We start from the raw sequence: 25,241 nt of genomic DNA, 5'->3' as shown, positions 1-25,241 counted from the left end.
TGCTCTACCTCCCTCCACGCATCGGCAGGTCTTCCGGCACCCTCCCAGCCAGTGCCCTTCCCACCCTGGGCCCTCTGGTGGGACCTTCTGGCATGAGGGGCTCTGCTTCCACGCCTGATGAGGCTGGGGGCGGGGTTGGGAGCAGGGACCTGAAAGCCCCCTGAGGGGTTCAGGGCACACAAGACCTGCCTGGGGGGCAGAAGCAGCCGTCCACACAGTGGTCCTCGCAGAGCTGCGCGCGCTGGGGGTTGGAGCAGGTGTCCGTGCAGGGTGAGCCACACTCCTGGTGCTGCATGTTGAGGGGGCAGGTCCGGGCTGCGCAAAAGGAGGTGGGGCTGGGCCAGGGGAAGGGCCCTGTACTGCCCGTGTGGTCAGCCCCAGCCGCCTTCCACGGCCTTCCACATGCCATCAAGTCCACAGAAGCCAGAGCTAGGCCCCAGGGTGGCCCTGACGCCCCTCATCGTGGGCAGCTCCACCCTCCAGCCCCAGCCCCCGCCACCTGCTGCACAGCCTCTCCACAGCCTCTCCTTCTCCTGCAGCCCCCGGAGGCCCCACCCCCTCCTGGGGTCCTGGGGTGGCCTCTGCCCACTATGCCTGGGGTGGGTCCTCTGCCCTCCACCCCTGTCCCCCAGGCCTCCCCACCCCCAGTGGCCCCCAAGGCGCTCCCCCTGCCCCTTCTCTCTGGCACAATCCCTGGCGAAGGCCCTGGGAGCACTCACGGCAGAGCTCAGGGCACCTCCAGTTCCGCGGCTGGCCCCCCGCGTGGGCGCACTGGCGTGAGTATTCCACAAAGGTGGCACACGGGCAGGTGGGGCAGCGGCACAGGTCCTGGGCGCAGGCGGCCAGGTACGCAGTGCTGTCCACCAGTGCGTGGCACTCCGCAAAGGCCGGCCCCAGCAGGGTGCGGTGGCAGATGCCCTCCTGGGGAGCACAGTGGGCCAGGCTGGGCACCCCTGCCATCCATGGGGGCTGCCACGGTGCTGGAATAGGACCCATGGCAGGCCAGGCCGGGAAGCCCTCTCCCTGTCGGGGTTCCTTGTACCCAGCCCCACCCCTTCCACCCACTGTGGCCATGCAGAGCTCTGCTTGGCCCTTGGGGAGTGACCCGTGACCGGGGATCCCCTACTCCGGATGTGCCTGCCCGTGGAGTAAGCGCCCAAGAAAGGTGCAGACCCCCACCCCAGGAGGCGGAGCCAAGGAGGGGAGGTGGAGGCCCCGCCTCTCTGGGCAGCCCGGCAGGTTCAGGGCAGTCCAGTGCTGAGTGTCCTCCGTCCCCAGGCCCAGGGCTGCCGGCTGCGGGGCCCAGCTCACAGGGGGGCTCATGCTGTCATTCACAGCACAACTTAAGGCTCAGAGATCCTGCTGGTTTGGGGATCCTGGAGCCTCCAGGCCCCTTCTGAGTCCACCTGCTGGTGGGAAGGGCTGGCTCCGGGCTTCCCGAGTGCCCACCCTCAGCCCAGCCTGTGCAGCATGGGCCTGTGTTTGCTCACACAGATGGGCACACGCGTGGCCTGATGAACACGCACGTCACCACACTCGGACAGTGTGTACCGTGGAACTGAGCACACAGAGGGTGGCTGCCCGGCCTCCCTCCAATGGCACCATCTCTCCACCAGCTGGGAACATTCCTCAGACCTCGGCCCAGCTCCCCCTGGACCTGGAGGCCGTCCCTGCCCAGGAGCTGGGGGTGGCGGGGGACTCACCTCGTCCGTGCAGTTGCCGGCCGGCAAGGGCAGCGGGTCCGGGCACTGCTCCGTGGGCCCATCCAACTTCTGCAGGTTCCCAAACTGGAGCGGGGTCAGCCTGGCGTCTGCCGGGAAGAAAGCAGGGGTGTGGTGGCTCTGAGGGGCTCCTGGGGACAAGATATGGGCTCCCACTTCCTGAGCCCAGGCCAGAGGACTCCCACTCCTGCCTAGGGCCCAACACCCCCGAGGGGCACTCCTCCCACCATGTAGGGCACAGTCCTCGTGGCCCCTCCCTGCCTGGTGCCCGGTCCCCACTCCGCCCCCTCCCGGCCTCCCCGGGACTGTGGCTCTTCGTTGGCCGACATAATTGGTCACCGCCCCCTCACCCAGGTGGCACTCACTGTGGGCATAGAACTCGTTGAAGGCCGGGAGGCCGTTGAAGTCCCCACACAGGCCACAGGTCTGGTTGGCGTATTTGGGATCCAGCTCCAGCTGAGAGTGGGGAGGGGCAGCTCCAGCCTCAGGACCTCTGATCCCCACACTGGCAACATGCCCCAAGCCCCGTGACCCCAAGCCCAGGGAGGCATCCCTCGACCCCCGGTGGGGGTTTTGTGGCCAGGCCTGAAGGGGCAAGGGGCGAGGGGGCTTCCTCACCAGGGCACTGTCCTCTCCGTTCCACAGGAATGTCAGCACCAGCCGGATGCTGACCTTGATGTAGTCCCCGCTCTGCTCCACCAGGAGGCCAGTGCGGCTGTAAGGCAGCTCCTCCCTGCGCAGACAGCGGGGTCTCTCCCTGGGCCCCGCTCTCCTGGCTGCCTGCCCACCCAACCCCCCCCCAGCCCTGGCCCAGGTCAGACATGGCCGTGTGGGGAGGTCACACTGTGTGGCCCGGCCCTCGCCCCTCCCCAGGGTGGCCGGCTCACCGCTGCCCATTGATGAGGACGGAGCCGTTGGACGCCTCCAGCACCAGCCCCTGGGCCTTGATGACAACACGGGTGACCACAGGCCTGGAGCCCACTAGGCCTCGGCGTAGCTGGACGTTGAAGTCCTCGTAGGCGGCGCGGCAGTGCTCAGAGAACACGTAGTTGCAAAGGCCAGGGAAGCGGAAGACGTCGCCGTCGAAGGTCTTGTAGTGGAAGTCACCCCAGGTGCTGCACACCCGCCCATTGTGCGCCGGGTTCAGGGCTGTGGGGAGCGCGGGATGAGGCCCATCCCCATGCCAGCCCCCCACGGGGTAGCCTCCCCTGGGCCGAGGCACCCTGGTTTTTGGAATGGAAAAGCCCATGGTCGGCTGCTGGCTGTGCCCTGCCTGGCTCACCCTGGACTGCGTCTGTTTTGCTCCAAGACCCCTGACCCGTCCCCATCCCCCAGGGTGGCCAGTGACCAGGAGACCGCCCACACGGAGGACTCTGGGTCTGGCCCAACGGCCCCACCTGGTGGCAGCTGCACCCCTAGATCTGGGCCCCCACCTTTGGGACTGGCAAACACCCCCTTCCCGGCTGGCAGGGGCAGCATCTGCTTACGGCTCAGGCTGGGGAAGACAGTGACGGGTGGAACAAAGCTCACGCGCCGGGTGGGCGAGGACGTCGGGGCACCTGTGGGTGAAGGCTGGTCACCCCAGGAACGTGGCCAGGAAGGGGAAGCAGAGACACCCTCCCCGGGGCCCACCCTCCTCGCCAGCCACCAGAGTTGAAGGGGAGCCCAAAACTGATGGGCTGGGGCCAAGGCAGCCCCTTTACCCTTGGCCCTGTCTGCCCCACAAACACTGCTGCCCTTGTGTTTTGGCCTGTGTGTGCACACATGTGTGTGCCAGTGTAAGTGTGGGCACGCATGTGCCTGTCCACGCGTGTGCTTCTGTGTGCATGTCTCTCTGCTCTGCACTTTCCTCTTCTTTGGAGCACCAAGCTCCGCCTCGGGTGCTGGGTATTGTCCTGGGCAGGGGACCCAGGGAGGGTCTCTGTCAGACGCATGGCTGCTTGGAGAGGCGTCTGCCTGCCCCAGCCCAAATTCCAGCCCCTCCAGCCTGGTCAGGAACCCCCCACCCCCGAACCTGGCCACATACCGCCATCCATGGTGTGCCCTGCATTCTCCCAGCTCGGCTCCACAGGGCCCTGGGTCTCTGTGGGAAGAGGGAATGGGAGTCAGTGAGGAACTAGATGTGGCTGCCAGCCACGAACCCAACCACGGACCTGGCCACATCCCTGGTGCGGCAGCCGCATGTGGGGTCCTTGGTGGCGGTCTCCATGCCCTGCAGGTTCACCCTCACGACACACTGTGGCCAAGGCCGGGACTCCTCCCCAGCCGCTCAGGCCACCCCAACCGTCAGCCGCAGATGCCTCCGCTCCTGCTCAATGCTATGGAAAGCCTGCGGGATGGAAGCTTCCAGCAGGGAGCCCTGAGCTGCCCCCAGCACGGCCTGCCCTGTCCCCGACTGACAGGCGGGGATGGTGCCTCCTTCTCAAGGGATGGGGGAGAAAATGGAATCAGGAAAAGGCGTTGGCCGCCCCAAGGGGGGATTTCGCCCCATCCCACACATCCCTTGGAGAAGGACAAAGACCAGCTTTGTTAGGAGGACACACTTGGAGCCTTCCAGGCGTGACTTAGCAGAAACCTAAACACAGAACCAGTTTCGAACTAGATCCTAAGTCAGGGCGAGTGGGGCAGGCTGGGGGCAGGACTCTGGGCCGCGCAAGCTGTGTGGCCGTTGATACTGGGATGGCCGCCCAAGGTCCCCCAGGCTGACCACCGCCTCCGGGCAAGGCCTCACCCACCAACCCCATGGAGGCTGGGAGGAGGCAGCTCCAACCCACAGGACTCTGAGGACCCCCGGCCATTGTCTGCCCAGTTTGGGTTGGGGCGCCCCCTTCACAGGACCCCAGAGCTCCTCCCTGGATCCTGATCTGAGACTCTCTGTGGGGAGGTGGGAGGTGAGGCCCCAGCCCCCACAGCATGGTCAGGGCTCAGCGAGGGGCCGGCCCTGTGGTTCGCACTCTGGCCTGGCCCTGCCTGGCTTTTCCAGCCAGGTCCTGCTGACATCTGGGAACCACCACAGGGGCCGCCTCCAGAGATCCAGGTTGACTGCCTTTCCCAGAAAGCCAGCCGATCCCTGAGTCCTCCACCCCGACCCACAGCTCACAGCCCTGCCCCTGTGTGCCAGCCCAACCAGCCACTCCCACGCCCCGGCTCCCGCCGCAGGCAGCCCCTCCCCACCCCAGCAGCCCCTCCCCAGCCCCAGGCAGCCCCTCCCTGGCCCTACAGCCCCTCCCCCGCCCCAGGCAGCTCCTCCCCTGCCCCAGACAGCCCCTCCCCAACCCAGGCAACCCCTCCCCCCCAGGCAGCCCCTCCCCTGCCCAGGCTGACTGCCCTTGGTTATCTGCTCCGTGCAGTGCCCTCCTTGGGCTGGACCACCTGGGCCTCCATCTTGTAGCCAGAGAAGTGCCCACCACCAGCCACCCCATCACTTTGGGGTGTGTCCCCTAACATGAAGCTGCTCTGTGCAGGGCTGCCTTCCCCGGCCACAGGACGTGCATCTGGTGACTAAAGCACAGTCCCTGCCAAGGGCTTGATCTCCCCAACTTGGACGTGCGTGGAGGACAGGAGGACGGGTGGGCTGAGAGTCCCTAGGCCCTGCCTGCTCAGGTGAGGGGAGCCAAGGCTGCATGGCCCGGAAGAATCAGATGCAAGGAGGTGGCTATTCTGGTCAAACCAGCCCCCAAACCTTGCAGCCAGACGCAGCTCCCCCCGGGCCCAGGCTGGGAGCCACTGGGGGAAGCCCCCTGCCTCCAGCCCTGCTGACCACCCAGCCTCCCTTCCACAGATGGAGAGAGACCCCAGGGAGCCTCACCTGCCCAGCCCAGACCCCAAGCTTGGGAGGGGGTGGAGGGCGGGGCAGGGAGGGGCTGCAGCAGCCTCATGGCCAGCCCGGCTGGGTGTCTCCCGGTGGCCCCTGGGGCTGCATCTTTCTCTATTGACAGTAAGTATTAATGCTGCGGCTCTGGCCAAGAGACAGCAGACGAGGGAAAACGCTCGGCTGAGAGCCAGGCAGCCCGTGCGGCATGAGATGCCCACAGATGGGCCGTGGGAGTCGAGCGTGGGTTGAGGCCGGGGCTCTTGCGGCTGGCTGTGCAACCCTTGAGGGTGGTACCCTCACCTGCCCTGCCAGCTGTGATCCCCAGGGAGGTCGTGAAGGGTAGAGCCGGTCCTGGACAGGGGTCCACGCTAAGCCTGCCCCTGCTCACTCTGATGCCTGGGCCTCATGGGGCTCCAGAGAGACCCCCAGCTGTGACCCCCTCCCCCATTGCCCACTCCTGTCCCACCCCCAAGACCAAGACCCTTTCGGTGGTCTCCCAGGGGCCTTGCCCTGCGGTCAGGGGCCCACCTTCTCCTGGACACCCCATCCAAGCCAGCCCCTGAGTTTCCTGACACTGTGAGCCCGTGGGGCCCCAGAGCCCTGTGTTGGGGACGGGTAGGGTCCCATCCAGGACACTCAGGGAGTCGTAGGGGGATCTGCCCGTGCACTCTGCAGGAGAAGCTCCCAGGCAAGCGACCTGCAGAGACCCCCGCCGTGAAGACAGCATCGAGAGGGGGCGGAGTGGGGGGCTCTTACCTGCCTGCGGCACCACGAGCATGGCCGCCAGAGCCAACACCAGCGTCCGGCACGCGCTCGGGGCACCCATCCTGGGGGCTGGCACGGGTGGGGGGACGGGGACGGGCAGGGAGGGAGCCGGGCCGGGTGCTTGCTCCCCTGGGGGCCCCAGCTTATGTAGCAGGGAGCCTTGGCCCCAAGCCAGGCCAGGCCACGCAGGGCACCATGCTCTTCCCCGCTCCAGCCACGTGTGTTTGCTCTCGGGGAGGGGCTGTGGCAGGGGAGAGGCCTGGATCAGGAAGGATTTGCAGCTCTGTGCCCTGAGGCCCAGGACGCCCCCACCCCCAGCAGCTTCTGAGAATCGGAAGGGAGAGAAGGGCCTACCCCACCTGGCACCCGTCCTAGATGGCAAAGCCGCTGGAAGGCAGGGCTGGCCTTGGACGCAGGGTCCATGGAAACAGTGGTCAGCCAGCCTGCCTCACACTCAGCCCCACTGCGGCTCCTGCTGGAAGGGAATCCCAGCCTCTGGGCAGCACCCCCAGCCACTGACCATGGGTCCCCGAGGCCCGGGGAGGGCCCACGAGGCTGGAGCTCCCCTCCCACCACTGCTTAGCCCACGGGGAGGCCGGGAGGCTCCTGCTGAGCTCAGGCATGCACATGGCCAGGATGCTCAGTCTGGGTGGCTTGTGGGGGTCCCTGGAGGAGGCTCTATTTCCAGAGACCCCAGCCCAGCTGACCAGAGCCCCTTGAAGACCGTGGGAGGTCTCTGGGCTGATCTGTTTCAAGGTTCACATTCAAGGGGAAACTGAGGCCCAGAGTGTCTCCTGGCCATGCACATCGGGAGTCAGCTGCGCTTGTCCAATGCCAGCCCTGATCCAGCCAGGCCAGAGGCTCCGGCCCTGAGTCCCATTTGGCCTCCACCTCACTCTGGGGCCTCCTCATTAACCCTGGCAGGGTTGAGGAAGCAGCTGCTCCGGGGGGTCCTGGACCTGCCCGGGGTCCTCCGCCTGCCCCAGGTGGGAGCCGCAGAAGCCTAGCACCTCCGGCTGGTGTCGGGTGGGCTTCCTGGGGGCTATGTGGTAAACCTCCTTGACGAGCGTCATCTACAGGACAGACAGCGTCATCTGCAGGACACTCCGTCCGCGCTGCAATACCTCTTGCAAACACCTCCTGCCCGTGTGACCTGCACCTCAGATGCTCCCACCTCCTGGCTCCCTGGTCACCAGCGTCCTGAATGCTCCGTGGCGCAGACGCCAGGCAGGAAGCACCAGGTCGGGTGGTGTGGCCTCGTCCGGCCCCATGGGGACCCTAGGGTGGTGTCCAGGTCTGTTGTTTTATTTACGTCACAGTCCCCGTCACGGGCCCTGCACCAGCTCCCCCGCGTTTGTCTTTCTGAAGTTAAATTCTTAGAGGTGGGATTTCTGGGACAAGACGAAAGCCCATCTTCAAAGCTTCTGACCTGTCTCACGCTCAATAGGATGGCGGGGATCAAGAAACACAGGAAGTAGGAAGTGTTGGCAGAGACGTGGGGACCCGGAGCCCTGTGCCCTGCTGGTGGGGGTGACCAGCAACTCCACTCTGGGTCTGTCCCCAGAAGAACTGAAGGCGGGTCCTGAGGGACATTTGCACACCCATGTCCACAGCAGCATCACTGACAAAGGGCAGAAGCTGCCCATGTGTCCCTGGGCGGAGGACTGGGTCAGCATCGTGAGGCTGATCCGTGCGGTGGAATACGGTTCAGCCGTGAAAAGGAGAGGCTGGCCCAGGCTGCTCCATGGGGGAAGCTGGGGACACTGTGCAGAGTGAGGCAGGTGGACACAGAGGACAAAGGCAGGAGGGGCCACTCGTGTGCTGCCCCTGGAGTCATGAAACCCGCAGAGACGGAGTGTGGACGGTGGGCGCCAGGGGCTGGCAGAGGGGATGGTGAGCTGGTGTTGCATGGGGACAGGGTTTCAGCTTGGGAATGTGAGAACGTTCTGGAGATGGAGGGCGGAGACAGCTGCACAGCGACGTGAACGGAGCTGGCCCGTTTTGCCACCTGTCACCCCTCATGGCTGAGGCCCCCAGGTGGCTCCTCAGAGCGCGAGGGCTGTGGTGGAGGCTGGAACCCGCCTTCTCCCTTTGTTCTTTGTGACGGTTTCTTTAACTCAGGGCACACCTCGGGCTTCTGCCTGGCCCTGTACCTGGGTGGGGGCAGGGGGTCTCCCAGATCTCAGCGTAGCTCCCCGCTCACTTCCGGGACTCCAGAGCCTGTGCTCCCCCCACCCACCCCACCGACGTCACTTCCAAAGCTGAAGGTTCCGAGGTCTCTGGGGTCTCCAAGCTCTCTTTCACATCCAGGCCGGTAGACCCGCTGCAGCACGGCACGGTGGGAGGGGTGGGCGGGGATGCCTGGGCCAGTGGGCCTTGAGGATGGTCTGGAGGGTGGGCCAGAGTCCCCACCCCTGGGCTCGTGGCTGTGACTGCACCCAGGCCCCAGCCAGACCCCTCTCCCCGGCCTTCCTGCCTGCTCCAGGCCAGGCTGGGCAAATGGGGGGCTACCGGCCGCTGTGGCGCCTCGTTCCTCGCACTGGCAGGAGGGGTGTGCCTGCTGCCCGGGCCTCTGCTGCAGACGTCCCCCCGACGCACCCGCCCAGGTCTCCCACCTTAGCCAAGCCCTCGTGACATCCCCCCTCCCTGCCCGCGGCTCCAGCTCACAAGCCGATGCCCACCTGGGTGCTGGGGCCAAGCCTAGTGTCTCCCCTGCTGGCCCCCACTGCCTGTCCCCTGCCCTCCCTGACCACGGCCGGTGCCCGCGGCCTTCATGGGGGCTGGCGGCCCACTGGGGAGCAGCCCCCTCACCCCCAGCTCGAGTGGGCCGGGCACCTCTGCATCAGCGAGATAGCGTTTTCTCCATGGCAGAGCTGGGACCCTCAGGCAGCTCCTCTGTCCCCGCTCAGTGCCTGTGGTCCAACCCTCCCCGCCTCCACCCTGGAACAGCCTCGCCCGCCAGTGGCCGCTGGCACACAGTGACACCAAACAAGTGGGGGCCCCGACTTTGCCCTCGTCCCTCCCACTAGGCACCTCCCCGGGCAGAGGGCCCATTGGGAACTGGGCTGGGTCCGGGGCAGGGGTCCGAGGTGGACGTCAAGGCCACAGCTATTGAGACATCCCGGATGCGGCCCTGGGAGTCGGGCCTGTTTGCTCAGCGTGTTTGAAGAGTTCACCTCTTCACAGTTGAAGGCGCTGAAAACAGAAGATAAAGGAAGGAAAGGGACACAGCCGGTTCCTGCCGGGAAGGGGGGCCAGGCACAGCCTCCTGGAGCGCAGAGGAGCCTCCCACCTCGGACGTGCCAGGAACTTGCCCTGCGGCTCTGACGGAGTCTGAGCCAGGCCCAGCCCTGGGTGGGTCACTGTCCCTCATTCTGGCCAGGGGGCAGTGGAGACAAAGGGGCGGCCTAGACCACACAGAACCCGAGGGGGGTTAATCCTGCCATGAATGGGGACCCGTCCAGGACCCCACAGACCCCTTCAGAGGCCGTCCAGGCACCAGTGATCAGGGCCACCATCTGCTGTCACCAGCTGCCCCAAGCCCAGCCCCTCAGCCCTGGGGGACACCTGGAGGGCTTGGCCACCGCAAAGAGTCGTCACTGGGGCTGGGGTCCCCACGTGGCTCAGCCCTCCCCTCCCCCGACCACAGCGGTGCAGGTTTGAGCCAGGCCCCAGTGTCCATCAGCCACCAGGCACTGAGCCGGGCCCCAGGGTCCATCAGCTCCCAGGCACTGAGCTGGGCCCCAGCTCCACGCTGGACACCTGGGGTGTCAGGCACAGCCCAGGGGGTCACAAAGCAGGGATGGGCTCTTGGTCTGCTCAGAGCCAGGCCCCAGGATGTGTACTCAGAGCCAGGCCCCAGGCTGTGCTGGGGATAGGGAGTGGTAGCTGTGTGGGACCCTCCACCTCGGCAGCCTCCTGCTCCCTGGCACGGGGGCCCCCCAACTCCTGGGGTGGAGGCCTTACCAGGCCAGACGCACGCTCCTGGGGGCTCACCTGCTGATGGGCCGAGGGTCCCATCGTGTGACCAAGCGGGACAGGTCCAGGGCTGGGTGGGCCCAGCAGGAAGGTGTTCCAGGCCTCGGGGACCTGGGCAGGTGACGGGCTGCTTGCTCCTGGGTGTTGGGATGGCCAGGCCCCTGTCCCCTGGCCCAGTACACCTGGGGAGATGTCCAGCAAGGCCCGGGGGTCTCAGAGCCAGTGCCTGGTGTTCAGAAGTAGCAGGTGGGGGCATGTTGAGTCTTCACAGCCCTTAGACCCTGGCCCACTGAGCGACAGGCACAACCAGGGGTACCGAATCACCCGGCAGGAAGTGAAGCTGCAGGATGGCAGGTCACCTTCCACCTGGGCGTCCCGGTGCCCTGGGCTGCCCCTGCTCTGAGGATGCCCTGCACAGGGGCTGCAAGACAAGGAGAACCCCCCGGGGCGGCCCCTGCCCTGTGTGAAGGTCTCAGCCCCCGCCACGACCTGTCTCTGGTTTCTCCTGGTCTTTGCACAGACCCCCTTCTCTGCCTGTCTCCCCACCCGATTCCTTCCTGCCAGTTCCAAGGAGCCCCAACTGGGTCCTGGTGCTGCCATGGGCAGTGGGATTTGACAAAGACTAGAACAGAATCCCCCCTACTTCGAGGCTTCCAGTAGCATGGACTTTGCAGCAGCAGCACCAGCTTCCAAGGAACAAAAGAGGATGGTCCTCTGGGTGGGGTGGGAGGATGACGGTTGAGCTGTAAACCAGGGAACAGCAGGTGCAGAGACGCCGAGGCGGGGATGAACTCGGCGACCTGGAGGGTCCAAATGCACCTGGTGTGGCTGGGGCTGGGGCACAGGGGGCTGAGGGGAGCCAGAAGTGAGGGCAGGGTCAGGTGTGGGGAGGAGCCCGGGGGAGTGGGGCGAATTGATCCGATCATTTAAAGCAGGAAAACTATAGGGCATTTTTTCTAAAACAGTGGTGAAGTGTATGTGACATAACATTGATCATTTTAGTCTTGTTTGTTTGTTTGTTTGTTTTTGTAGAGACGAGGTCTCACTCTGTTGCCCAGGCTGTCATGAACTCCCAGCCTCAAGCGATCCTCCCACCTCAGCCTCCCAAAGTGCTGGGATGAGAGGAGTCAGCCACCACACCGCCCAATTTGCAATTTTTTTTTTTTTTTTTTTGAGATGGAGTCTTGTTCTGTCGCCAGGCTGGAGTGCAGTGGCTCGATCTCAGCTCACTGCAACCTCTGCTCCCTCAGTTCAAGCGAGTCTCCTGCCTCAGCCTCCCAAGTAGCTGGGACTACAGGTGTGCACCACCACGCCCAGCTAATTTTTGTATTTTTAGTAGAGACGGGGTTTCACCATGTTGGCCAGGATGGTCCCAATCTCTTGACCTCGTGATCCGCCTGCCTCAGCCTCCCAAAGTGCTGGGATGACAGGAGTGAGCCACCGCGCCACCCATTTTGCCATTTTTAAATTAATATAGGAGCATTAAGTCCACTTACACTGTTGTCCGACCATCCCCAGAGCTTTCCCATCGCCCTGCACTGAAACTCCGTCCCCATGAAACACCAGCTCCCACTCCCCTCCCCGAGCCCCACGCATCCACCAACCTCAACTCTCTCCGTAAGTTTGGTCCTCTAGAGGACCTCGTATAAATGGACTCATACAATACCCATTCTGATGTGACTGGCTTGTTTCACGGAGCACCATGTCCTCAAGTTTCGTCCGTGTTGTTGCCTATGTCTGGGTCTCCTTCCTTGTTTAAGGCAGAGTCATTTTCCACTGCGTGGATGGGCCCCGCTGGGTTCATCAATTCGCCCGTCGGTGGACCCTCGGGCTGCTTCTGCCTTTTGGTTTTGTGAATGAGGCTGCGATGGACATCGCAATGTGCCCAGGAATCTGAGTCCCTGTTTCCAGTTCCTCAGCTAGGAGTCCCTCTGGCTGGGAGCAGAATGGCTGGGTCACACGGTAAGTCTATGTTTGGCTTTCTGAGCAGCTGCTAGACTGCTCCACAGCGGCTGTGCCGTTTTATGCTCCCGCCAGCCATGCACGGCGGTTCCAATTTCTCTATATCTTCACCAACACTTGTTATCTTTAAAAAAAAAAATCACCACGTGATATTTCCCTGTGGTCTGGACTTGCATTTCCCTAATAGTGATGTCGAGTGTCTTTGTATGTGCTCATGGGCCATTCACACATTTCCTTTGGAAAAATGTCCATTCAGGCCAGGCGCAGTGGCTCATGCCTGTCATCCCAACACTTTGGGAGGCCGAGGCGGGTGGATTACTTGAGGTCAGGAGTTCGAGACCAGCCTGGTCAACATGGTGAAACCCCATCTCTACTAAAAATATAAAAATTAGCCAGGCGTAGTGATGAGCACCTGTAATCCCACCTACTCGGGAGGCTGAGGCAGGAGAATCTCTTGAACGCAGGAGGCGGAGGTTGCAGTGAGCCGAGATAGTGCCATTGCACTCCAGCCTGGGTGACAGAGAGAGACTCCATCTCAAAATGAAAGAAAGAAAGAAAGAAAGAAAGAGAGAGAGAGAGACAGAAGGAAGGAAGGAAGGAGAAAGAAGGAAGGAAGGTAAAGAAAGAAAGAGAGAGAAAGAAAGAAAAGAAAGAAAGAAAGGAAAGAAAGAGAAAGAAAAGAAAAAAGAAAAATGTCCATTCATGTCCTTTGTCAATTTTTTAGTTGGGTCTGTTGGGTTTTCTTGTTGTTGCTACATTTTAGGAGTTCTTTATATGTTCTAGATATTGATTCTTTATCAGGTATATTATTGGCAAATATTTTCTCCTGGGCTTATCTTTTCCCTCTCTTTTGATGCACAAGAGGTTTTAATTTTGATGAAGTCTTATTTATCTATTTTATTGCCTGTGCTTTTGCTGCATGTTCAAGAAATCCTTGCCAAATTCAATGTCATAAGATTTTCTCCTATGTTTTCTTCTAAGGGTTTTATAATTTTAGCTCGTATGTTCAGGTGTTTGATCTATTTCAAGGATTTTGAAAAATCTGTCATAAGGTAAGTGTTCAATTGCACTCTTTTGCATGTGGATATACAGTTTTCCCAGAGCCATTTGTCAAAAAGATTGCCCTTTCTCCATTAAGTGGTTTTGGCACACAAGTTGAAAATCAACTGACCAGGCCAGGCATGGTGGCTCACGTCCGTCATCCCAGGGCCAGGCACGGCGGCTCACGCCTGTCATCCCAGCACTTTGGGAGGCTGAGGCCAGTGGATCACCTGAGCTCAGGAGTTCGAGACCACCCTAGGCAACATGGTGAAACCCTGTCTCTACTAAAATACAAAAAATTAGCCACGTGTGGTGGCAGGTGCCTGTAATCCCAATTACTCAGGAGGCTGAGGCACGAGAATCACTTGAGCCTGGGAGGTGGAGGTTGCAGTGAACCAAGATTGTGCCACTGCACTCCAGCCTGGACAACTGAGCAAAACTCTGTCTCCAAAAAAAAAAAAAAAAATTCAATTGATCATATATGCCAAGGTTTATTCCTGGCTCTCTGTTCCAGTCCATTGCTCCATATATCTGTCCTTATGCCAGTACAGCAACTTGATGACTGCAGTGTTGTCATGCATTTTAAAAATAAGAAGTATGAGTCCTCCAATTTTGTTCGTTTGAAAGACTATTTTGGCTATTCAGGGTCCCTTGAGATTCTATACAAAGTTTAGCATGGATTTTCCTATTTCTACAAAAGTACCGTGAGAATTTTGATAAGGATTGCATGGAATCTGTATTACCTTTGGGTAGTATTGTTACCTTATCAATATTGTCTTCAAACCCATGAACACAGGATGTCTTTCCACTTTATGTCTTTAAATATTTTTTTCAACAATGTTCTGTAGTTTTCAGTGTACAGATGTTTTGCCTCTTCGGTTATGTTTATTTCCTAAGCATTTTATTCTTTTGGATGCTATGTAAATGGAATTGTTTTCTTAATATCCTTTTCCCATTGTTCATGGCTAGTGTGTATTGCTGAATGCTTTAATCAGCTTCAGTAGTACTGGGGTGGAATTTTGGGGGATTTCTATATATAATAGCATGTCATCTGTGAACATAGTAATGTTACATCGTCCTTACCAATTTTCGTTTCTGTTATTTCTCGTTCTTGCCTTATTGCTCTGGTTAGAACTTCGAACCCTATGTTGAATACAAATGGTGAATACAAGCCTTGTTGTCTTTTTCCCAATTTTAGAGGAAAAGGTTTCAGTCTTTCATCACTGAATATGAGGTTGGCTGTGGGCTTTTTACATATGGCCCTTATCATGTTGAAGTAGTTTCCTCCTATTTCTAGTTGGTTGTTTTGTTTTGTTTTTGTTTATTTTTAACCATGAAATGGTGTTGAATTTTGGCAAATGCTTCTTCTGCATCCATTGAAATGGTCATGGATTTTTTTTTTCCTGCTTCATTCTATTAATGTGGTGTGTTTAAATGGTTGATTTTCATATCTTGAACCACGCTTGCAGCCCAGGAAGAAAACCCATTTGATCATGGTGTAGAATCCCTTTAGGAAGCTGCTGAGTTCAGTTTGCTAGTATTTTGTGGAGGATTTTTTTCATCAATATTTTTAAAGGATATTGGTCTTTAGTTTTCTTGACTTGTTTTGTCTTTGTCTCCTTGGTTGTCAGTGTAATGCTAGCTTCATAGAATGAGTTAGGAAGTTGATATGGGTGCCGTTCTCAGGACAGTGAATAAGTCTCAAGAGATCTGGTGGTTTTATAAAGGGCAGTTCCCCTGCACACACTCTCTCCCCTGCTGCCATATAAGATGTGCCTTTGCTCCTTCTTTGCCTTCCACCATGATTGTGAGGCCTCCCCAGCCATGTGGAACTGTGAGTCCATTAAACCTCTTTTTCTTTATACATTACTCAGTCATGGGTATTTCTTTAGCAGGATGAAAATGGACTAATACAGAACGGTTGCCCTTTTTTTCCAATCTTTTGGAAGAATTTGATACATATTGGTGTTAATTCTTCTTTAAATGCCTGTTAGAATTAACCAGTAAAGCCATCAGGCCCTGTGATTTTCTTTATATAGGAGGGTTTTGATTACTGACTTAATCTCCTTTTCTACATCTACTCAGTTTGCCTATTTCTTCATGAGGCAGTTTTGCTACATAGAGTGCTTTTGAGGAATTTGCCTGTTTCTTCTAAGTTATCAAATTTGTTGGCAGACAATTGTTCATAGCATTCTCTTATAATTGTTTTTGTTCCTGTAAAATTTTTAGTAATATCCTTTTTATTTCTGATTTTAGTAATTTGAATCTTCTCTTTTTTCTTAGCCAATCTAGCTAAAAGTTTGTCAATTTGGTTGATCTTTTTAAAGAACCAACTTTTGGTTTCATTGAAGGCTTTTTTTCCTATGATTTTTTAAAATTCCTTGTTTTATTTATTTCTATTGTAACCTTTATTATGTCCTCCCTTTTGGTAGCTTTGGGTTTAGTTTTCTCTTCTTTTTCTAGTTCCTTAAGGTATACAATTAGGTTATTGATTTAAGATATTTCTTCTTTTTTGATTTAGTTGTTTCTAGCTATACATTTCCCTCTCATTACTACCTTTGTGTGTCTTATAAGTTTGGATACATTGTGGTTTTGTTTTCATTCAAGCTTTAAGAATGCCTAATATCTTTGGTGATTTCTTCTTTGACCTGTTTGTTATTTAAAGGTGTGATATTCAATTTCCTCATATTTGTACATTTTAGTTTTTCTTTTATTATTGATTTTTAGCTTCATTCCTTTGTAGAATACTTTGTGTGATTTCAATCTTTGAAAGTTTATTAAGACTTGTTTTGGATCCTATCATATAGTTTCTCCTGGAGAATATTTCATGTGCACTTGGAAAAAAATGTGTCTTCTGCTGTTGGTAGGTGAAGTGTTCTGTGCATGTACATTATGTCTAATTGGTCTATAGTGTTGTTCAAGTCCTCTGTTTCCTTATTGATCTGTCTGGTTGTTGTATTGATTATTGAAAGTGTGGTACTGAAGTCTTCAGCTATTGTTATAGAACTATTTATTTCTCCCTTCATTCTGACAATGTTTGCTTCATATACCTGGAGGCTCTGTTGTTTGGTTCATATATATTTATAGTTGTTATATCTTCTTGTTGAATTGACTTTTTTTTTTTTTTGAGACAGAGTCTCACTCTGTTGCCCAGGCTGGAGTGCAGTGGCATAATCTTGGTTCACTACAATCTCTGCCTCCCACGTTTACGCCATTCTCCTGCCTCAGCCTCCCAAGTAGCTGGGACTACAGGCACCCACCACCATGCCCGGCTAATTTTTTGTATTTTTAGTAGAGATGGGGTTTCACCATGTTAGCCAGGATGGTCTCAATCTCCTGACCTCATGATCCGCCTGCCTTGGCCTCCCAAAGTGCTGGAATTACAGGCGTGAGCCACCATGCCCAGCCAATCATGGTTTTTTAAAAATTGATTTTAACCAGTCTCTGCATTTTAAATGGAGAGTCTAAGTCTATTTGCATTTAAAGTAATTACTAATAAGGATGTACTTACCACTGCCATTTTACTATTTTTTTGTATGTCTTCTAATTTTTTGTTCCTCATTGTCTCCATCACTGCCTTCTTTTGTCTTCAGTTGATTTTTTGAAGTGACAAATTTTTATTCCCTTCTCATTTCTTTTTGTGTATATTCTATAGCATTTTCTTTGTGGTTACCCTCGGGATGACATATAACATCCTAAAGTTATAACAGTCTAGTTTGAATTGATACCAACATAACTTTAATTGCACACAAAACCCTCCTTCTACACAGCTCCACCCCCTCCCTTTATTTCATTGATGTCACAAATTACATCTTTATACCTTGTGTATTCAATAACATAGATTTATAGTTATTTTTATGCATTTGCCTTTTATATCCTGTAGAAAAGAAGAAGTGGATTAAAATCAAATTTACAGTAATACTGGATTTTTATATTTGGCCATGTATGTAGTTTCAGTGAAGATCTATTTCTTTTTACAGCTTTGAGTTACTGTCTAGTGTCCTTTTATTTCAGCCTGAAGGACTTTGTGTAGCATTTCTTGCAGGGCTTGGCTAGTGGCAACAAATCCCTTACCTTTTGTTTATCTGGTAATGTCCTAATTTCACCCTAAGTTTTGAAGGACAGTTTTGCCAGATATAGAATTCTTGGTTGACAGTGTTGTTGTTTTTTAATTTCAGCACTTTAAATGTTATCATCCACTACCTTGCTGGCCTTTAAGGTTTCTGATGGTAAATATGCTGCCAATCTTACTGAAGATCCCTTAAATACGACAAGTCACGTCTCTTCTTGCTTTTGAGATTCTTTCTTTGCTTTTATCCTTCAACTGTTTGATTATAATGTGTCTCAGTGTGGATCTCTTTGAGTTTATCCTACTTGGAGTTTCTTGAACTCCCTGGATTTGTAGATTCATGTTTTTCATCAATTTTAGAAAGCTTTTGGCCATTTTTGTTCCTTTGAATTTTTTTGAGTTTCTTTGAATAATTTCTCCCTTTCTCTCCTCCTGTAAGACCCACTTGGTGGTCAACAAGCACCTCAGATTCTATTCACTTTTCTTCAATCTTTTTTTCTTTCTGCTCCTCAGACTTGATCATTTCAATTGCCTTGTCTTCAAGTTTGGCTGAGCCTTTCTTATAACTGCTCAAATATGCTGTTGAACCCCTCTAGTGATTTTTTTTCATTTCAGTTATTATAATTTCCAAGTACAGAATATCTGTTTGGTTCTTTTTAAAAAGATTTCTGTCTCTTTGTGGGTATTCTCATTTTGTACGTGCATTGTCTTACTGACCTCCTTTGGTTCTTTGTCCGTCTTTTGCTTTAGTTCTTTGAGCAACTTAAGACAGTTGCTTTAAAATCACTGGCTAGTAAGACTGATGTCTGAATTTACTCAGGGATAACTTCTCCCAGTTTATTTTGTTCCTCTGGATGGGCTATATTGTTTCTTTGTAAGTCTTGTGATTTTTTTGTTGAAAATTGGGGATTTAACTATTATAATGTGGTAACTCTGGAAATCAGATTTCCCCCTTTTTCTAGTGTTGGCTGGGTTTTTCTCTTCTTTTTTATTATTGAAGGCTACAGTGATCCATTCGAGATGTTTTTAAGTGAACTTTGCAAAGGCTGTTTCTTGGTGTGTTTTTTTTTTCTTGACAGAGTCTTGTTCTGTTGCCCAGGCTGGAGTGCAATGGCACGCTCACTGCAACCTCTGCCTCCTGGGTTCAAGCAATTCTCCTGCCTCAGCCTTCCAAGTATCTGGGATTACAGGCACCCACCACTACACCTGACTAATTTTTTGTATTTTTAGTAGAGACTGGTTTTGCTATATTGGTCAGGCTGGTCTTGAGCTCCTGACCTCAGGTGATCTGCCCTCCTCGGCATCCCACAGTGCTGGGACTACAGGCGTGAGCCACCACACCTGGCTGCCAAAGACTATTTCTTGTCATGTGTGATCATGAAGTCTGTGTTCCTTTAGCTCATGTTCAACTGATGTTTTGACAGAGATTTCCTTGAATGCCGGGAGCTCTCCCAGTTTTTAGAGAGAAAGACTAAGAAAAGTGGGAGGAATTAGACTCATTAATGGATATTGACACTAGTTAACACACAGCAGCTAGGGAGGAATAGAATAATTATGTGGTCCTGAAGCACCTCCCACAAGAGACTCCTTAGCTCCAGGGGAGGAGATGGCAACTTTCTGCTGAGACCAACTTGGTCGGGGAGATCCTAACCCAGTGGCACTAGAGGAATTAAAGACACACACAGAAATATAGAGATGTGGAGTGGGAAATCAGGGGTCTCACAGCCTCCAGAGCTGAGAGCCTCGAACACAGATTTACCCACGTATGTATTAACAGCAAGCCAGTGATAAGCATTGTTTCTATAGATTATAGATTAACTAAAAGTATTCCTTATGGGAAATGAAAGGATGGGCTGAAATAAAGCGATGGGTTTGGCTAGTTATCTGCAGCAGGAGCATGTCCTTAAGGCTCAGATCACTCATGCTATTGTTTGTGGCTTAGGAACGCCTTTAAGCGGTTTTCCACCCTGGGTGGGCCAGGTGTTCCTTGCCCTCATTCCAGTAAACCCACAACCTTCAGCGTAGGCGTCATGGCCATCATGAACATGTCACAGTGCTGCAGAGATTTTGTTTATGGCCAGTTTTGGGGCCAGTTTATGGGCAGATTTTGGGGGGCCTGTTCCCAACAACTTTCCAGTGGAGAAAACCGGCAGACACCCCTGAACCAAGTGATGAAGGCTGGCGTCCCAGTGCTGGGTCCAATCGACATCACATCCTCTGGAGACACGCACAGCTTCCCCGTGGTGACCCTGCCAGGGTACAGCCCAGCTGGAGCACAAGCAAACCTCAGACAGACTTAGGGGTGCCACGCAACATAACCAGCCTACTCTCCTCAAAAGACCACGGTCAAGAAACAGAAAAGCTGAGGACAGATTCCAGATACAAGGAGACTGAAGAGCTGGCAGTGGTGGGACAGGTGGTCCTACGCCAAACCCTGGGGTGGGAAAGATGAAAGCTGTGATGGACGCGGGCAGGACAGCAGAGGGGTCTGCCTCTGGGCTGTGATGTCACGTCACCGACCCGTCTGGGTGTGACCCCTGCTGTTTCTAGGCGACACGTCTGCGTATATAAGGGTGAAGGGACATGCTTCTCAAACACCAGAGGTTCAGAAAAATATGTAGCTACAGACAGCAAATAGCACAAGTCCCTGGAACAAAACACAAGCCCCAGAGCCTGAGGAAGGGCATGGAGGAGGTCTCTGTTCCACTCATTCAACTTACCTGCAAGTTCAGAACCACAGCGAAGGAGGACTTTCCCCAGAGGCATGATGCCACCAGAATGCATCCCCTGCAGTAGCCCAGTGGGGCCTGGATGCAGGGGTGCAGTAGTGAAGGGGGACAAAAGGGAAAAGGGAGAAGTGGAGGGGACACGTGTGGAAGGAGGAGGAGGGGGACATGGCAGAGACAGCCTGAGCAGGCAACAGGGATGCAAGGGGCTGGCGTGCCATGGCCAGGTGCTGAGGCCGGTGTCGGGGCTGTCCTGGCCCTGGCACCGTGGATGCTTAGTGGCTCCCCAGCCCTGAGAGTCTCCTGGGGAAGCAGCACCCCCATGCAGGGCCAGAGTCTTGGGGTGCCTCACAGTGGCGGGCAGGCATGACCTCAGTGTGGCGGGCAGGCGTGACCTCAGTGTGGCGGGCAGACGTGACCTCAGTGTGGCGGGCAGGCGTGACCTCAGTGTGGCGGGCAGGCGTGACCTCAGTGTGGCGGGCAGGTGAGGATGCGGGCAGAGTGTGGACAGAGGACAAGGCCGAGGCAGGCCCCTTGGCCGCATTTGCTCAGGATTAAGACAACTCGAGTCAGAGCAAACAGGAGTGGGGCGCACGTTGTCCAGTTCCCTGCCAAGTGTCAGCGGCAAACAGGCCCTCCCTTCCCTCCAGGAACCCCGATGTTGACTTAGCGCCTGCGAGGCTGGCAGAGGGGCCAACGTGGCCCCGTGTGGCTGAGGCCACCTTCCCCAGTGGCCCGGTGCTGGGTTAGGCACCTGATACCAAGGCCAGCACCCACACCCAAGCCCTACAGGCTCCTGCTACCGCCGGCTCCTGCCCCACCTGGCCCCAGGGCCCCTGCAAGAACTGGGAAAGGGAGATCCAGGCCCAGCCCAAGGGACCCACCACAGTCCTGACTCCCGCGCCGTGATGGGGCAGGCCGAGCAGCAGAGGGGCAGCCCACTTGCAGGGCCCGACCCTCACGGGACACAGGCCCAGGCGTGATCCCCGCCCCTTTCACCTTTGGGCCCGGCCGCCCTGTCTGTGCACTCAGCCTCACCAGGGCCCTGCCTGCCCCACATCTGGGATGAGGCTGACGTTCTGAAAGCCTGTGTGGTCTGAGCAGATGGCGGCGAATGCGCCCACACCCCTGTGGGGTACAGAGTCAGAGCTGCTCCAAGGGCAGTGGTGAGTGAACTCTGAACTCTGACCTACGACCCCATTCAGAGGTCACGGTGGTCAGAACAGCTCAAGGGGCACAATGAGGACTTGTTTGTAGGGAAAAGGTTGGCGACCAGACCAAGGCCTCACGCCCAGTTCTACCCAGCCGCGGGGACATGAGGGGCAGCCTCGCCCATGGCCGGCCTGAGGCTTTGGCAGAGTTTGGTCGAGAGCTGCTGCCAGGCCCCTTTCTCAGAACTTAAGGTCACTCAGCACCGACCCTTTATCGCCCAGGAGGATGGTGGGACTGGCCTGGGGTCAGCAGGGGCCCTGCCCTGGCGTTGCTGAGCCTCTGGACGGACGGGCTTCTGCCCAGCTGAGCAGCCCCACGCTCTGCTTCCAGGGAAGGGGAGCAAAGCCCCAGGGCCAGCTCTTAGCAGGGCTGAAGAGGCATTTCCAAGCCTCTGTGTATCCACGTCCGTCTGCCTGCATGTTCGCCCGGGGCCTTGCAGCTCTGTCCATGCAGCACACACGTAGGCAAACAGGAGCCACCGCCCACGATTCTCCAGAGGCAGAGTCTGCAAACCAGCTCGGCCGGCGCTGCTGTGGAGACCCAAGTGAGGGGGGGACGTGGCCCCGGGGACAGCTGAGACGCCCCGGGAGAGGAGGCTGGTCTCAGTGGAGCTACCGGTGGCTTCCTGAGCTGCGCACAGGCGCACGGGTCCACGGCAGGTGGGGTCGGGTGCCGGGAGCAAGGCCATAGTGCCTCTTGGCTCTGGGGACCTAAGGCACATCCTACCACCAGGGTGTGGCCTGGTGACCTCCCTGCCCCCAGGGGCTTCTTCCTGAACCCTGTGAGCTGGAGCCAGCCTGCCAGGGCCCCTCCCAGCAGGACGTGGATTCTCAGTTTTCACTAAATTCTGAACCATCCTTTCGTGGGAGGGTAGAAGCTTGAGAGCCATCGGCCGGGGACATCAGCTTGGGGGCCCTTCCCTGGCACCCTCCTGCCAGCCCCCGCCCAGGCATCTGAGGCCTCCAGGGTGGGTGCTGGGCGAGGCAGCCTGAGCCCCCGGGGCCTGCAGGGGTGGTGCATCAGGGCTGATCTCCCTCTGGGTGGGACAGTCAGAGGAGCAGCCCCCCAACCCTGCCCGGGTGGGAATGAGCCTCTGGCTCAGCCCAGCCAGAGAGGAGCAGTGGGACGCTGGCCTGGGATGGGTCTGGATGGTTTGGGGTTCAGGACCTCTGCCTCTGGTTTGGTAAGCACCGCTCTCAGGGCCCCTGCAGGGTCTGGGACTAGGGTGGCACGTGGTGGGTCGTGAGCAGGGCGAGCTCCCGGAGGTGACAGAGCTGCCTCCACCATTGACAGGGGCCCAGCCAGCGGCCTCTGAGTCTCGCAGGCCCCACAGCTCAGGTGGCCCAGTCTTCATTGTCTACCTTCACCTGGTGAGGGTGGGGCCAGCACAGAAGCCCTCACCCCACAGTCCCAGCTAAGGCACCAAGGCTGGGGGACCCCAGGGGTGGGCTCCGAGGGCTGAGGAGCCCCCCATTTGGAGAAGTGGGCGGGCCGGGCAGGGATGGTTGTGCGAGGCAGGGAGTGGGGTGAGATTGCGGTGAGGGGTGCACGTCGCCTTCGGATAAACAGTCAGTCCGGACGACGATGGCGGGTGAGAGCAGAGAGTGCGGCGCCAGCACGTCCTTCCCGCTGGGCCTGTGTCGGGGCCGCCGGACGCACTGCGGCCTCCCAGCCACATAGTCCTGCCTGCAGGCGCCTTCTTTCTGACCTGAACTTGCTGCTCTCCATGTCCTCCGGGCCGCTGTGTCTACGCCTCCCAGAACCTCAGTCATAAAAATGTCTTTCTCCAGCGCCCAGGATGCACATACTTTGTCACCGTCACCCTCTGGGGTTTTATTTTTTATTCTATTCTGTAAAAATACAGCAGCCTGTGTGTGACCTCCAGGTGGGTTTTATGAGCATTGAGAAAGCCCCAGGGTGAGTGAGAAGCAGCAGGATTTGAGGCAGACTTCGAGGTGCCTCTACTGGGACCTCCAAAGCCCGCCGCACTCGGCCTGGCCTGGCCACCTCTGTATCCACCCCTCCTGGCCCACCTTGGTCCAGCCACCCTGGCTGGGGGCTCTCTTGCAGCCCTGCTCCCAGCGGGGCTCTCTGTCCCGCCACCCCCAACCCCACACGCACCCCAGGCTCCCGCAGGCTCTGGTCAGCACCCCCACAGTTCTAGCCCCAATATCTTGAATTCTCCTTTTCTGCTTATTTTGCCCTGTAGCTCCAGTTTGGGGTTCCTTCCACCCGGTGATCTCGTCTGCTCTGCTCACTGTGAGGGCCAGGCTCCACCCCTGGGCTCTGAGCTGTGAGCACTCAGCGACCAAACCTTGCAGGCCTTCCAGCAGATGCTCAGGAGCCGACAGCCCTGCGCACTGCTCCTGCAACACGGCGAGGCCCCAGGGACACGGGCACCTCACCGGGCCCTCAGTGGGTCCCTTTGGCCTGCGTGGGGCGGCCCACACAGCACGGCTGCTGGAAGCCACTGTGGCCCAGGGGGAGGGGCGCTTTCCCTGCGATGATTGCTGGGGAGCCCTCCTGGGTGGCAGGGCACTGCACTCTTTGCTCGTGCCTTTCAAAATCCACCTGGATATTTGAGGACCTTTTTCAGTCCGGGTAGATTCTACGAGTTTGCCAACTTCCTCCAAAGCTCTCACCAGCTGCCATCGGCCTGGGGGAGCCACGCCTGTGTGTGCAATGCCCCTTCCGTCTCTGAGTCCTCCTCTGCATCCCTCCAGCCTGCTGCTGGAGACATGGACATTCACTACGCAGCTTCACACAGCCAGAGACGTGGTCGTTTTCCGGTGGTGGTCCAGGGTGTGGAAGAACCACGCTGACTTTGGGCCGCTCTAGCCAAGGCTCTGTGGGGCTGTCCCGTCAGCACCCATGGCTCCTCTGTTGGTTCAGTCGGGTTCTCTACATAGGTGGTCACCTCTTCTGCAGTCTTTTGTCCCCCACGAGGCTGTCCCTCAGTCAAACACGTTCCGGGTCCTGCCTAGGGACATTCGAGCACACAGTCGGTGCCCGTCCTGAATACAGGCACACCTGGGGGCAGGAGCTGTGCCCAGGGTGAGTGGCCAGCCCCGGGCAGCTGCCCTGCTTCCCTACACTGGCCCCAGCCTCCTTAAAATCATCCTCAGGTCTCTCTGCTCCCAGGGCTTCAGCTGGCATCCATGCCACCGCAGCATCCATCTCTCTGCACCTGGGCCAGGCAGCTGCCCTGGATCTCTGGTTGCTCCAAGAAGTCACCCTGCTGCCCGGAGCTCAGAGCTGCTGCCAGGGACACCCCAAGACGTGGCCGATCGCGGGGACCCATCCTGCTGCCCAGGAGCTCAGAGCTGCTGCCGGGGATACCCCAAGACGTGGCCGACCGCGGGGACCTACCCTGCTGCCCGGGAGCTCAGAGCTGCTGCTGGGGACACCCCAAGATGTGGCCGATCACGGGGACCCATCCTGCTGCCCAGGAGCTCAGAGCTGCTGCCTGTGCACACCCCAAGACGTGGCCAATCGCGGGGACCCACCCTGCTGCCCGGGAGCTCAGAGCTGCTGCTGGGGACACCCCAAGATGTGGCCAACCATGGGGACCCACCCTGCTGCCCAGAGCTCGGAGCTGCTGCCTGTGCACACCCCAAGATGTGGCCGACTGCGGGGACCCAGCTCCTCAGGAGCCCTGGGTGCTGCCATGCTGGGGAGAGCTGGGAGGGGGCTGAGAGCACAGCCCACCCTCCATGGTCACAGACCCCTGAGCCCTGCGTCTCTGTCCATCTTGCTCCCCATGGCCAGGAGCCTCCCAGGTCCCCTTATCTGGGACCTGGCCCCAGTATGGGCCCCAATATGGACTCCCTGGGCACATGGTGGGACACCCCTTCTCCATCAGCCTGGGGGAAGTTTTGGCTCCTGGAGGGGTCCTAGAATCATGAGTGTCCAGCCTCGACGTGACGCCTCCGCCAAGGCCATACTCCAGGCAG

The 25,241-nt window shown here is 56.9% G+C and overlaps 1 protein-coding gene across 1 annotated transcript in view, besides 3 other annotated features; it reads right to left on the bottom strand.

Annotated features, from left to right (window-relative positions):
- MUC5B (mucin 5B, oligomeric mucus/gel-forming) overlaps positions 1–6,419 on the bottom strand; it is a 39,107-nt gene extending 32,688 nt beyond the window's left edge. The window contains exons 1-9 of the mRNA NM_002458.3: positions 6,292–6,419; positions 3,748–3,804; positions 3,209–3,280; positions 2,609–2,870; positions 2,340–2,454; positions 2,087–2,177; positions 1,704–1,810; positions 720–921; positions 190–315 (exon numbers count right to left, since the gene is read on the bottom strand). Coding sequence (NP_002449.2) covers positions 190–315; positions 720–921; positions 1,704–1,810; positions 2,087–2,177; positions 2,340–2,454; positions 2,609–2,870; positions 3,209–3,280; positions 3,748–3,804; positions 6,292–6,361 — 1,102 coding nt within the window. The 5' untranslated portion in view covers positions 6,362–6,419. The remainder of the gene's footprint in view (positions 1–189; positions 316–719; positions 922–1,703; positions 1,811–2,086; positions 2,178–2,339; positions 2,455–2,608; positions 2,871–3,208; positions 3,281–3,747; positions 3,805–6,291) is intronic.
- Positions 4,487–5,184: an enhancer, noted in NCBI's record as "H3K27ac-H3K4me1 hESC enhancer chr11:1245531-1246228 (GRCh37/hg19 assembly coordinates)". NCBI's record gives its function as "activates a minimal SCP1, AML or CMV promoter by ChIP-STARR-seq in primed H9 embryonic stem cells {active_cell/tissue: H9 hESC(primed)}" and the evidence as "EXISTENCE:reporter gene assay evidence [ECO:0000049][PMID:30033119]".
- Positions 5,185–5,880: an enhancer, noted in NCBI's record as "H3K4me1 hESC enhancer chr11:1244835-1245530 (GRCh37/hg19 assembly coordinates)". NCBI's record gives its function as "activates a minimal SCP1, AML or CMV promoter by ChIP-STARR-seq in primed H9 embryonic stem cells {active_cell/tissue: H9 hESC(primed)}" and the evidence as "EXISTENCE:reporter gene assay evidence [ECO:0000049][PMID:30033119]".
- Positions 5,881–6,578: an enhancer, noted in NCBI's record as "H3K4me1 hESC enhancer chr11:1244137-1244834 (GRCh37/hg19 assembly coordinates)". NCBI's record gives its function as "activates a minimal SCP1, AML or CMV promoter by ChIP-STARR-seq in primed H9 embryonic stem cells {active_cell/tissue: H9 hESC(primed)}" and the evidence as "EXISTENCE:reporter gene assay evidence [ECO:0000049][PMID:30033119]".

Source organism: Homo sapiens, chromosome 11 (assembly GCF_000001405.40).
Source record: "Homo sapiens chromosome 11, GRCh38.p14 Primary Assembly".
Lineage (NCBI taxonomy): Eukaryota > Metazoa > Chordata > Mammalia > Primates > Hominidae > Homo > Homo sapiens.
Note: the sequence above shows the minus strand (reverse complement) of the source record. Positions and strands in the feature narration are given on the sequence as shown.